Here is a 13,583-nt window from a genome sequence, read left to right as displayed (position 1 = left end):
AGTCCATTTTGTCCACTTACAAATTATTTTAACAATATATGTGAAGGGCAATTTTACATTCTCTCTATCCCATTACTATCTTCCAAAACACAATTATATGTCAATTGCATGACTCAGAACCTCTTCTGCCCAAGTAATAAATCATAAGTGTAATGGGTAAAAAGAATTTGTCATTGTTCAGTGTGTATACAGAGTTATGTGGCATATAACCTCAGATTTCTTTCAGATCATATATAAATACATAATAAAATAATAATGCTCATTAGTCAACACCAAATATAAGTTCCAGATGTCTGAACATCAAAGTATTTATAGGCCTATAGGAATAGCCTTGAGACAGGAACAGTTCTTCAAAAATGGTACTGGAAGAAAGCAGGCTACAAAAACCTCCCAAATTCCCTGAAACAAAAGCTATTCTTGTTTATACATAAATTATGAATGACTTTTTAAGGGCTGACTCATTGGCCAGTGCATGTGCCTACAAATCCGGTTTCTCAAGAGGATGGGAGCTGACTGGACTAACAGGAATTCTACAACAAATCATATTTTCCCTGCTTGTCTCTAAAGCAAGTCATTTTGTCCGGAGGTTCAGCCACCTCTCTTGTCAAGGCACAGCAGGGGCTGTTGCTTGCCTGGGAACCCTGCCAAAGCTGTAACAGCACTCAATTCACCTAGCAGGGGCCACCTGCTTCAGGGGCATTGTGGACCAGTCCTCTGGACACTAGTTTTTGGAAGAAGGGACTTGACAGCCCCGGTGAGTGGTGAGATTGAGTGGCACCAGGTGGACTGCTTGCCTGAGGCCGCTCACCCCATGCAACTGCAATTCCCAAGCCTTTTCCCTGGATGTCAGCCTCTATCCACAGCGAGGTAGGTGTGGGAGAACCACCCTGGAGGCTCCTAATCCCAACTGTGCCATGTATTCACTGCCTGGCTTTAAACAAATTAGCTTACGTTTCTCTTAAATTTTCTCATCCATAAAATGTAGTGCCATACAGAATAACTTTTCAGGTCCTGTCCAGCTTTGATAAGTTTTCCTTTACACAAAAGGACATAAATGTACATATTACTTAGTTCATCCATGTGCTGTAGGAGACCTTGATCACCAATATTGCTAATAAGTGGCTTAGTCATGACTCAAAATAAAATTCATGGCAAATACAGATCTTCCAAGACTAGAAGCGTTTCTCTTTTGCAAGGAGGAGCAGGGGCAGGACACAACAGTTCTTTCTGAGGGTTTAATATGAAAAGTTAGAGCCCAGACAAGTTGTTTGCAACATGAAAAAAAAATCCTATTATCCTTCTCTGTCTCATATCTTCCTCCTACAGGCAGGAGGGAAAAAGTGAAAGCACTTTTTAAACATAGTGATTCAAACCTTCCAGTGACTGATAGTGTATGAATGTCAAGAATTTTGAACATGAGTTATCCGTCCCAATTTTTCTATCCCAAATGCTTTTTGTTGGTTTTTCTAACCAGGGGAGAATGCTCCTCGGAAGGAAGTATTTCATTTTTGAAGTGTTAAATGGGGAAGTTTGTATTTGAATCTGAGCTCCATTGGAGCTCTTTGGAAAGCTGTTTTAAGTGGAGATAACCACACCTCTTTCCCTCCTTTTTCTCGGAGGGAATATGCTTTTATTGGCACACTTGTCTACGTGCAGAATCCTGAATTTCTTCTGATAAAAGTTTGATGAATACAAGGTGGTAATAGTGCTCAGTTATCACTTTTCATTAATCAATAAAGACTGCAAACTTCTACAGTCAACATGGAATAAAGTCAACACGAAATGGAGATTACTTAAACCTTGAAGCTCCAACGTTGCACAATTAACAATAAATCCATTATTACTTGATGCATTTGCTGAAACAAAAAACACATGTGACTGGAAATTCAAAAACTGAACAGGCATTGGCAAATGTTTTCCAAATATAATACACTATCCTGACAGCTAATGCATCAACAGTGTTTACTTCAGCAAATGTTTCTAATTTGCAGGGGGAAAAAACAAGTGTCTTATAATAATCTTTAACATTTGAATACGTGTATGTTGCTTTACAGTTTACAAAGCACTTTCAATGTATACATCCCCTCAACTGATCCTTAAAATCACCCTGGGAGGTAGACAGGACACGTATTTTATTATCTTCCAACAATTTTTAGTTCCCCCAACTTGTCATGGTGTTCTTTGTCTCTGTGGTTTCACACGTGCGTTTCTTGAGTCCTGGAATGCCCTCTTTCCCCTCCCCTGCCCCATTTTTCATCTAGTTAATTCCCAGTCAACTTTAAAAATCAACACAACCACTGCCTCCTTTCAAATCCTGTGGAAGTCTCCAGGCTGATGTAGACATCTCCCTTCTGTGTTGCTCCAATACCTTATGTGTGGCTGTGATCACATTTTGCTGTAATCTGTTCGCTTTTCTGTCTCTCTTACTAGACTGTGCACTAACTTGATTGCATGGCGCTTGTTTTATTTACTTGACATCTGTAGCACCTACCACTATCCCTGTTGTAAGTAAGGACTCAGTAAATGTCTGGTGAAAGAATAAATGAAGTCCATTTATGAGATGAGACTGAAGTTCACAAATGTAGGTGTCTTGTTCAAGGTCACACACTTAGTGAAGGACAGGGACTGAACTTTAACCTGTACTGCTGGTTTTCCAGTCCAGTAGTCTTTTCCTCGATATCACCCTGTGTTTGCTCTGCTTATTTCTATTGAAACTTATGAAATATTCATGGATATAACGTAATAGCATTTTGAGGATATTTCTGCAGCATATATAAGAAGTCATTGGGAAGAAATTTTTGCTAACTTCTTATCTTAGTTCTTTATTCATTTATTATTTTTTACTCAGTTCCTATTTTCTTCTATCAAGGATTTGAGGCAGCTTAAAATAACGTTAACATAAAACAAGGATAAAAGATAAAGAGCCAGAAAAAAGAGAAAGTAAGGTGGGAAGTTTTCGTATCAGAAATTCTAGGCAATGAGAAAGACTGCAGTTGAGCTTAAAACTTGTCCTTGAGCATCCTGAGATCCCAGTAGAAAAGAGAAACACAATGTGCTGTATTGCTGTTATTACATATAGAAAGAGAACACTCCAGAAGACTTTTTTCCCTCATAACATTAAGGGAAATTAACTCTATGGATATTTATATGACTCCATGAGAAACACAGTGGAAAATGCCTTCACCTGCAGCTCACACAAGAGGAATTCCTTCAACAAACATTTTAAAAAATCTCCTATAAGTTGGACACTGTATTAAGGATTAGGACAAAGATGAGTAAGATAAGACCCTACTTTCAAGAGACTTCACAATCTGCTAGCAGAGAAAAGCAGTACACAACTAACTAAATGGGCAGAAGCCTTCTTAACAGATGTTTGTTGTAGTTACCCTAATAATAACTGGAGGCATAGAGATCCCTTGAAGACATCTCTATGAGGAAGTGAAATGCAGAATATGTATGTAGGTTGCATTTTGAGATTAATACTTCCTGCTCAGTCCTTATTTTTTAAAAATCACATAGATCAACAAATATTTATGCATATTATAATGCTTAATAATGAAGGGATTCATGTCCTATTAATTTCTGTTTGAATTTCTCTTAATTCTTTCATTTAAAATCTGTGCACATTGTGTAATTGCTGTTCATAATAAGAATATGTGTGCTTTAAAAGCTTATAAATATTATCCATACGTGGAGACATCTTTTCCAACTATAGACCATTAGGAAGTAAACCTAATAATAAATTGTCTGGCCTTAGAAAACATGGTTAGAGTGAAAAGTCCACATTTTGTTCCTGTAATTTGTAACGCACTCAGAAAATACCAAAGCTGGCTCAGAACCAGCTGACGAGCCCTCCAGCACTGGATTCATAATGGGGAGCCTATTTTTCTTTTATTACTGGTAACTGGAAAAGCCTAGCAACTATTTTCCATTGACATTCCCTCCAGGATGGAGAGCTTGTTTTTCCTAGATTTTTGTGTATTTTTAGGCAGTCATCTTGGGCAGTCTGGCTTTGTATCAAAAGTGTTATTAATTGAAGAGTTTCTCCTTTGGGCTATTGGGTAGAAAAATACAGTCTCTGTATCTTCATGTCTATTTTGGGGGTCATGGCTTGTTCCAGTTCCCCATCTTTTTGCAAAGCGGCTGTTCTTTCATCTTATCCCTGTAGTGTGCCTGGAGAAAGAAAGAAACAGAATCCCAGAGCTATGATCACCCTTCTAAAAGTCTTACTTGGAAGTGGCAAAAGTGGCAACTTTGGGCCTCTGAATTCCTTTTCTAGAATTTATGGAAAATAGAAAAAATCGTTGATGGAAAAGCAGAAGGTTGATTAGTAGGCAAAGAAGGATGGTGGTCTCCACCTTCAGGATGACCACTGTATGCAGCTTTTGGGAGATTTTAATTATACTTGACTTGATCTCTGCCTGGAGTTCTCCATTGCATAGTTCTCCTCTTCTTACAAGCAAAACATGCTTGCACTTAGTTTGGGTTCAAAAAACATTTTTACAAGTCCTTTGTCCTATGCATGGGTTTTCCTCCTTTTGCTTGGTACTATAAAGCAAAGCAAGCTTAGTTATCAAGGAGAGATGGGTTTGATACTTTATCGTTTAAAAACATCATTTAGCAATTTGGAAAGTACTGGGCTAGCACCTAGGCCTCTCACTTATGTCTCACATGAACACCCTGGGAAGTGAACTAACGGATTGATAGCCTGTAGGTCACTTGTGTTATGGTAGGCATGTTAATACATTATTTCATTTAGTTCTCTTGACCAAAGTGCAAGAAGAAAATGATTACTTCATTTTCTAGTAACAGATTTTAGAAGTCAGCTAACTTGTGAAGGTCACACTGTTGGTAGTAGGGAAGCAAGGGATGGTCTGAAGTTGGTATAACTCCAAAGCCTGGTACTCCATCCTATTTACCAGCACACCATAACATATTTCAGAGAGTAAGGGATAGTGACATAATCCCTTAATAGTTTTTCCTGAAAGGATTCTTTTCACAGCTTAGGATTATCATCAGTTGAACAGAGTTTCAGGCTATAGCCCGGCATGCATCTTCTGAGGAAAACAGTGATTCACCCAGTTATATTATTCAGGGAGACTAAGAATATGAGGCATGAGTGGACGTGAAATTCCTTTTCAATGAAGCCAGAGATGTCAGAGGAAAAAGTTGTTAATGACATTTCATAATACTTTATACACAGTGTACTTATCTGATTTTAAAGTTCTCTTGTCCTAGTTAAGAAGACAAAATAAGGGGTGTGATGCCCACATAGTTTCACTTGAAAAAGAGACACATAATGAAGTCAAACCTTTGAGGAATTCACTGATATGGCTTGTTGGGAGTGGCCGCTTTTCAGTTGAGGACATCATGATTCAAGTGGGGAGTTTAGAGGCCAAGATCTGGGCTTCTGAGAGTTTAACTGTTGCGCTCTGTAGAAAGTTATTTTGCTAAAAAGGCTTATTTCCTTTCATTGATAATAAAAATATTGTTAAACTCTAGTCATAAGTAAAAATTCTAGGGCATCCTGAATTATCAGTCAGCATGTATGTATCCTAGGGTTTTGTTCAAAATATTAAATATCTGCTTTGGCGTGGCCACTGACCATTAGCGTGGACTCAGGCTTTGGAGTTGGGGCTGAGTTGGGGAGGACCCTTTCCCTGTACAGCTTTAACCCTTTAGGAGCTTGACTATGGGAAGTTCTGGGGGGTCCCAAGGAAGGGACCAAGGTGTCCAGAATAGCAGAAAGGATCTATGGGACAATTTATCAACTGAAAAAAAGGTTCAACATTTTAACAATGGCTACTGTCTCACTAGCGTGTATGAGATGAATATCAGATCTGTGTACATCACAAGCAATGTAATATAGTAATAAATTCCTACATACACCAGCCACTATGGGGCTAAACAAGAGAGACCTTGAAACCAATGTGAAACTCCTTTTATGGAGTATTTTCTAGAAATATTAACATCTAACACTGGAAAGATAATATAATTGAATAATTAGGAATAAAGGCTCTGGGGTTAGGCTGCTTGCGTCTATTAATTTCCTGTGGCTCCTGTAACAAATTATCACAAACTTAGTGGCTCAAAACAACACAACACACAATTATTCTCTCACGGCTCTGGAGGTGAGAAGTTTCAAATCATGATGTTGTCAGGGCTGCATTCCTTCTATTGGCTTCATGGCAGAATCAATCTCTCTTGCCTTTTCGGCTTCTAGAGACCATCTGCATTCATTCCTTGACTCAGGTACCCTTGCTTCTATCACTCAACTTCTTGCTTCTGACATCACTTCTCATATTACTGACTCTGACTTTCTTGTTTCTCTTATAAGGACCCTTGTGATTACATTGGATCCACCTAAATAATCCAAGGTACTCTTCCCATCTCAGGATCCATAATTTAGTCACATCAGCAAAGTTACTCTTGCCATAAAAGATAACATATTCATAGATTCTGGGGACTCAGTCATAGGTATCTTTGGGAGCCCATTATTCTGTCTACCAAAATGGATTCCCACCCTGGCTTTGTCACTTTTTAGCTTTGTGATCTAGTGAGTAGCTATAAGGCAAGTTACTCATTCTCTCTGTGCCTCAGTTTTCTCATCTGAAAAATGGGAATAATAGTAGTACTTCATATTCATAGGGCGAAGATGGAGTGAATTAGTACAGGGGAAGGGCTTGGAACCATTCCTAGCCTCTAGCGTGTGTGCAGTGAGAGACATCTGTTGTATCAACGGGACTGTATCCATGCTCTTGGGGTATGTCTACTACCCCAGCAAACTCTCTTCAGCTCTCTGCAGCTGAGCACACAGCCGATGTCCTTGTCAGGCCAACTTAGGGAGACGGCGCCTTTTGGTGCTTCATGATTCTGTTGCAGTCCAATGATATGCCTGGTTTCCTATCCCTGCAATCATTCCTGGACTATAGTTGGGGAGCTTCTTGAGTTCCCCTTGTAGTTTCAACCTTGATTCAACCTCTGGGACAAGAAGAGGAAGGATAGACAATGTTTAAGAAATTGTAGGTCTAGATTCCAGAACTCACTGTGAAGCCATGCCCAAGTTCTATCAATTTCTTCTTTCAGTGATCATCGTTGTAAGAATCTTCCAAAATGGAGTTCCATCCTGTTCCCTGCCATCTTCCTAGCACAGGGTTCATGATCAGATTGCTGTTTCCTGTCCCCACCCTAATATTGCCATCTTCTAGTCTTTCTGCTTCCAGGGCCCCTGTGGGTTTTCCTTAGTGTTGATCCCCTGCATGAGATTGTTACATCCTCCAAAGCCTGGAGCAGCCCACCCCTAGCCTCTGCCTCCCCTCTGGAAGAGATTTCAAAGCACTGCCTTCATATCAAATGAGGGGAATAAAAACTGTTCCTTTTTATAGAATAAATTGGATTTGGACTTTCAGGCATCTATTGTCTGAGGGTTGACATGAAAGAAGAAAGTGGCATGTGTGTCTGCGGGTGGAACAGATGGCTCCTTCCAACTTGGGAAAAATCTATGAATTCATTGGAAACACTCTAAAGAAAGTTAGAAGACATTCTCCTGGCATAACTGCCTATAGGGAAACTGTGTTTCTCCAGAGTATTATAACAATTTATTTTATTTCTTTAGTGTTCATGGTTGCCTTTTTTACATCCCTATTTGTAGGAATATCTGACCTGTAAAACCATAGAAAAATGTATTCTCCAACACTAAAAATCAATCTATTGAAACCACTGATTGTCCCCACTCCCCATACCACCTTTAAAAAAATTCCAGTTTGTGGCTTCACTTTGGTAACTTATGTTGCTTCTAAACTAGGTTGTACTATTTTGAAAAACAAAAAAGTATTTTACCCAGACCTATTTTCCTTGTCAACTGCTTTGCCACAAAAGACTAAATTTATCTCTGAAATTATAAGTAGACCTTAGTTATAGACAAGTTTTACTGGCTACCTTAAAAGAGGCATGGCTATTTTAATGAGTAGAATAATCTGAAAGTTTTTTTTTTTTTTATTTTGTAGCCCTCTTTTCAAATAATTAAAAAATCTTTCATTAAAAGATATGCAAATCATCTATATAATATAAAAACATAACAACTCTCTAACATGAAGTGTCTGAAGAGTAAGACACAAACACTCAGTCCAAAGTAGGTGTTTCATCTTATTAAGTGGAAAGAACTCTTGATTAGAAGTTAGAAAACCTGGGTACTCATTCTTAGTTACTAATTATTAAGACTTAATTTTTTTGTGCTTCAACTTTTAATCTGTGAAATGTGGATCATGATTCCTCTGTCTCATAAACTTGTAAAAGGGCTCAATGGAAATAATCTTTAAGAAATTACATTGAAGAGCTCAAAGAGCCATTTTAAATGTCAATTGCCAGCATGACATAGCAGACAAGACATGGATTTGCAGTCAGCCAGTGCAGTGGATGCTGGTTCTGCCATGTAATAAGCTGTGTGACTTGCTCAAGTTAACTAGCACCTCTGAGCTTTGATGTCTTTATCTGTAAATATAAAACCCTTCTGAGTGAGTGTGAGAACAGAAAGAATGCAAAGCAAGTGTTCAATAATAGTAGCTCTTATTACTTTTCTCCACTGAGCAAGTCATTCTTGTCAGTGTATCCAGGCTATAAATATACCATTCCCTGCATCAGCCACTCTTGGAACATTTGACTCAATAGCCTTTCTCCTTTTTTATGAAAAATTGATACTGTGGGTAGCCTTGTGGTTCTCCATGTCATTAAGTTCAGAAATAAATGTGCTCAACCACAAACTTCCCATTTCGTCTTCAAGGCAGATCAGGTTTTCAGTGTGCACGTAAGTTAAGTGCCTTCTTACCTGCAAGGAGCATCTTTATCTCTCCGGGCCCGGGCAGGGCTCAGGCCCCAGCAAATATTGCTTCTAAGGGTATCATGTCTAAAAATGTTTCCTTCTCTCAGAAAGGCCCAGTGTCACTTGTAGCTCAGTCTGGTATGGCCGTAAGTCAAGGAGTGCAAACTCAGGCAGGGACAGGGAAGTAACCCAATGGGTGTTGTTGGTGGGTGTTGAGGGTGGGAAATTGGGAGATGTACAGCATGGGGACTATAGCCCACAACAGGCCTGTGCCCTGTCTAAAGGATGGCAGCTCTCAGCCCAGCTGATGGTTGCCAGGCAGGAATTTGGCCCAATTTTGTTACATGCTGTTTGTTTTCCCTACCCAAAGCAACAAATTTGAATTTTCATGTGCTATTTCTCAATTTTTAAATGTTGTCTACTAATCTAAATTTCTTTCTAACTCTGTGGAAATTAGAATGGGCTCCTGGCCCATCAGTGTGTATTCTCTGATATGCAGTTCCACCTGTGGCCCCCTAGTAATTGTTACGGACTGGGGAGATACTACCTTTATCTGAACAATCTTGGGTCACTTAGAATCGTAATGACTTTCAAGTGAAAAAGCTACAGACTCTCCATAGAGAGGATTTTGGCTCTGAAATGATCAGATATCTTTTCTGTTCTTGATAATAAATAATGTTTTAAAGCATAAGAAAATATAACCCTTCTTGACCATTATCTCTTGATAAATATTATAGTTTTCAAAGCAGGTTCATGTAGGATCAGGATACTTTAAATTAGGATAGGTAATCGACTTATGCATCCGGACTTTCAAAACAAGTGAAGTTTTGGAATGGGATGGAGAGATCTTGTCCAGGTATGATTTCCATCAGCATCAAGTCCTTATAACTTGAACACCTATCTACGCTCAGAAATTAGTAGGTTGAAAACCCATCTGGAGTAGAGTCTCTGGGGGCATTTATGGAGATAAACAACTTTTTGTCTTCACTCCCCCCAAATTCCTTAGATTGGTTGGAGAAAGAGGAAGCTCATACCTCTGGGTAAACGGGGAAATTAGGTAGTGAAGCTGATAGCCAATTCTTTGCTTAGAATATCAGTGTTGGAAGGGAAATTGTACTCTTGGAAATAGTTTAACTCAATGACTTTTACAAGGGATTCTGAGGTTTTCAGAGGAGTTTGGGGATCTCACAAGGGGGCTGGTCTTTTAAATGACACTAATCTTTACTAGAGAGTATTGATATTATATGTAAGAGGTGATTTGAAGAAAAGATTTCATTAATTAAAGAAAGAAAACCCCAGTGGTCTCATTTTGACTTTTAGTTGAAGAAACAGCCCAGTGTCCAAATTGCCCAAGGCTACCCCATTGGTGAAGGTCAAGCCCTGTCTGCAATCTGACTCGGCTGCCTCCACACTCTTTCCTGCATTCAGCCTCCACATTAGCCTCCTGCAGCTAATAATCAGCACCTGATTTATTTCTTCTCAAAGGTGCTGGAGACATTTTCCATTGCTTGCTGAAATATGAAGTATCTTGAACTGTTTTTTTTTTTTTTTCATAAGTTTGGGCAATTCTGACATATTGTCAAGGGCTTACAGTCACTAGTTAGCACAACAAACCACATGTCATTTAGACTCAGATATCTTTTGCTTGTGGGTCCTTAGCCACCACCAGTCCCTCTATCTGGCCTCTATCTATAAGGACTGTGGTCAGTTGGGAGGATCAGATGCTGATATGTCCTGGCGATGTGCTAATAAATGTTTAACAGCTGCTTCTCTGGGGGTGGGTAGCTGTGATTCATAGCATTTGCCAATATCCATTATGTAAATAATCTCACCCCAGCTGACCTGAAGCTACCAATGAGACATCACTGAGCAAGAAGTTGGAGAAAGAAAGATACACGCAGTTGGCTCTCTCCAGTGGTACTAGCTGGCTCTAGCACACCATTGCACATTCTCCTCTTTTCAGGAATTCATAGGCCCTTAATTTATCCCCACTTATTACCTCCACAATCAGTATTTTCCATCCTTCCTTACTCCGACATTTCTCTCCCCGTAATGCCAAACCATCCTTGAGATGATCACTATATCAAGTGACTGACTGAATTAAAAGCGTCCTTAAATAATCTAAGCACTTAAAAATACATTTCAGGTAAGAACATAGGCAAATTCTTGCTCAACCCATCATTAAAAAACACAACTTGCATTGATTTATGTTTTTACCCATTTCTTTAATTTTGTCTTTTAAAAACCCAAGTATTCTAAGTTATTTCACTAGATGGTGCTATATATAATTAATATAATTAAGAGTTAGGACAAATGTCAGCTAAAAAACCTGGAAATCTTCTGAAGAAAGCACTTCTTCTTATGACCAGAAGTTGTCAAATCGAAACTGGGATACTCCAATTGACTTTATTATTTTCCTTGCCTTTGCTGGTGGGATTTGTAAAAGCTGCTCACCAAGACAGATTGTCATTTGGCACTCACTTTTAAGCATGACTTTCCCCAGTGATGGAAAGTTCTTTAAATTTTCTCTGTCATAAAGATCTTACCATATCTTTTGCACCATTGAACTCTGCCACAGGTCACACTTCATTTGGAAGGTGTCTATCCTGTATCCTGTGACCACTCCTTAATCATTGTTCTTTGGATACCAGCATTCTTTGTTCCTATAGTTGAATTTCTGAGCTGTGGAATATATTAGTAAATTATTTTCCAAACAGTTCTTACAGATAAGAATTTTGCAAGCCTGATTTAGTGTCTATAATTTGTTAGGAAATGTGTAAGTCCTCTACACATTTTGTTTTTATTCATTAAGTACGGGAATTTGGTCTATTTACTCAACTTTTAAAGTATTCTTTCAACCCTCCATACTCAGGAGACACACAAAGATAAAGAACTGCTGTAAAAGGAGGCTAAAAATCGTATCAATCTACATCTCACCACCTTTAAAATAGTCATTTTCATTGTTAACCAGAATGAGATATAGCTTTTAACTTAAAATTCTGCTTCTAAGGACAGAAATGAAGAAAAGGATATTAATTGTTACTGAAAGTACCTTCCTTACAATACTGTCATATCCAAGTAGGAGCCATGTTTTGCTTACAGTTGTATCACTTGGCAGGGTACTAGGCATAAATTGGGAATCAACAAATACCTTCTACATGGATGGCAAGGGTATGCACTTATTCTAACCCAATTATTCTTTACAATACTAGAAGAAAGCAGTATTATTCCCAAAAGTCCCATAAAATGAAGACATAGATTATCAGAGACTTGTCTTAGGTCTCACAGGCAATGCAAGCAAAAGAGCTAGAATTTTCTCCCAGGCCTGACTCCAAAAGCCACCATCTTGTTGGTTTCATGAAGATTAAACATTCGGTCAGTCAGCTGGAATTCTTTCAAGTCCTGAAACCTGGGAAAGGATTACAAATGCTTATTTGCTTATTTTTGGGAGAACAAAATAACAAAACGTTATAGCAAATTCGAATAGCGTGGTACTCAATTTTGATAACCATGGGAAACTAGGAATATTATTCACCCTACCTAGAGGGGCAGTGCATTTTATATTGCATCCTGCAAATCTTCACAACTGGCCACAAAATTATAGTTAAAAATAAAAATATTGAGGCATATTTGATAATTCTGATAAGCCAATTTGATTAATAATTGCATTTCTTGTTATAGGTTCACATAATCTATTGATTCTTCAGTTAGTGTTGGTAGTTTGTGTTTGTTGAGAAATTTGTCCATTTCATCTAGATTTTTATTGTTATTGTTGGCCTACAATTGTTTATAGTATTTCTTTTTTTATCTTTTTATTTTTGTAAAGCCAAGAGTAATGTCCACTCTTTCTTTTCTGATTTAGTAATGTGAGTTATCTTTGTTTTTTCCTGGTCGGCCTAACTGAAGTTTGTCAATTTTGTTGATCTTTTCAGGGAACCAACTTTTGTTTCAATAATTTGCTCTATTTTTATGTTCTCTATTTTGTTTATTTCTTCTCTAATCTTTATTAATAATTTTCTTCCTCCTGCCTGCTTTGGGTTTTGCTTACTTTTCCTAGTTTCCTAGGATAGAAGGTTAAGTTATTGATTTGAGAATTTTTTTCTTTTTTTAGCATAGGCGATTATAGCTATAATATTCCCTCTAAGCACAGCTTTTATTTCATCACATAAGCATTAATATGTTGTGTTTTGGTTTTCCTTTATCAAAATATTTTCAAAATATTTTCTGATTTATCTTTTGTTTTCTTATTTAACCCACTGGTTATTTAGAAGTGTGTTGTTTGATTTTACCATATTTGTGAACTTCCTGAATTTCCTTCCCAATATTGATTTTCAGTATCATTCCATTGAGTTCAGAGAACATACTTTATATAATTTTCATCCTTTAAAATCCATTGAGACTTCTTTTATGGCATAAAATATGTTCTATCTTGGAGAATGTTCTATGTGCCTTTGAGAAGAATGTGTATTCTGTTGCTATTGGGTGGACTATTTTGTAGATGTCTGTTAATGTTAGATATATTTTCATATAGGGTTGTTCCTGTCTTCCATTTTCTTGTTGATCTTCCATCTTGTTCTATCCACTATTAAAAGTGAGATATTGAAGACTTTAACCATTATTATTATTGAATTGTTCATTTCTCCCTTTAGTTCTGTCAGTTTTTGCTCCATGTATTTTGGAACTCTGTCATTATGTGCATATAAGTTTATAATTGTTATATCTTCTTCATGGGCTGGCTGACCCTTCTGTCATCATAATGTGTTTT

The 13,583-nt window shown here is 37.9% G+C and overlaps 1 long non-coding RNA gene across 3 annotated transcripts in view; it reads left to right on the top strand.

The window, feature by feature from the left end:
• Nucleotides 1–542: 542 nt before the first annotated feature.
• The window catches only part of LOC105376214 (uncharacterized), a 401,533-nt gene continuing 388,492 nt past the window's right edge, over nucleotides 543–13,583 (top strand). For all 3 annotated transcript variants that reach the window (XR_007061722.1, XR_001746882.2, XR_001746881.2), the window contains exon 1: nucleotides 543–867. This is a non-coding gene — a long non-coding RNA (uncharacterized LOC105376214). The remainder of the gene's footprint in view (nucleotides 868–13,583) is intronic.

The sequence above is a fragment of the Homo sapiens genome, chromosome 9 (assembly GCF_000001405.40).
Source record: "Homo sapiens chromosome 9, GRCh38.p14 Primary Assembly".
Taxonomy (NCBI): domain Eukaryota; kingdom Metazoa; phylum Chordata; class Mammalia; order Primates; family Hominidae; genus Homo; species Homo sapiens.
Note: the sequence above shows the minus strand (reverse complement) of the source record. Positions and strands in the feature narration are given on the sequence as shown.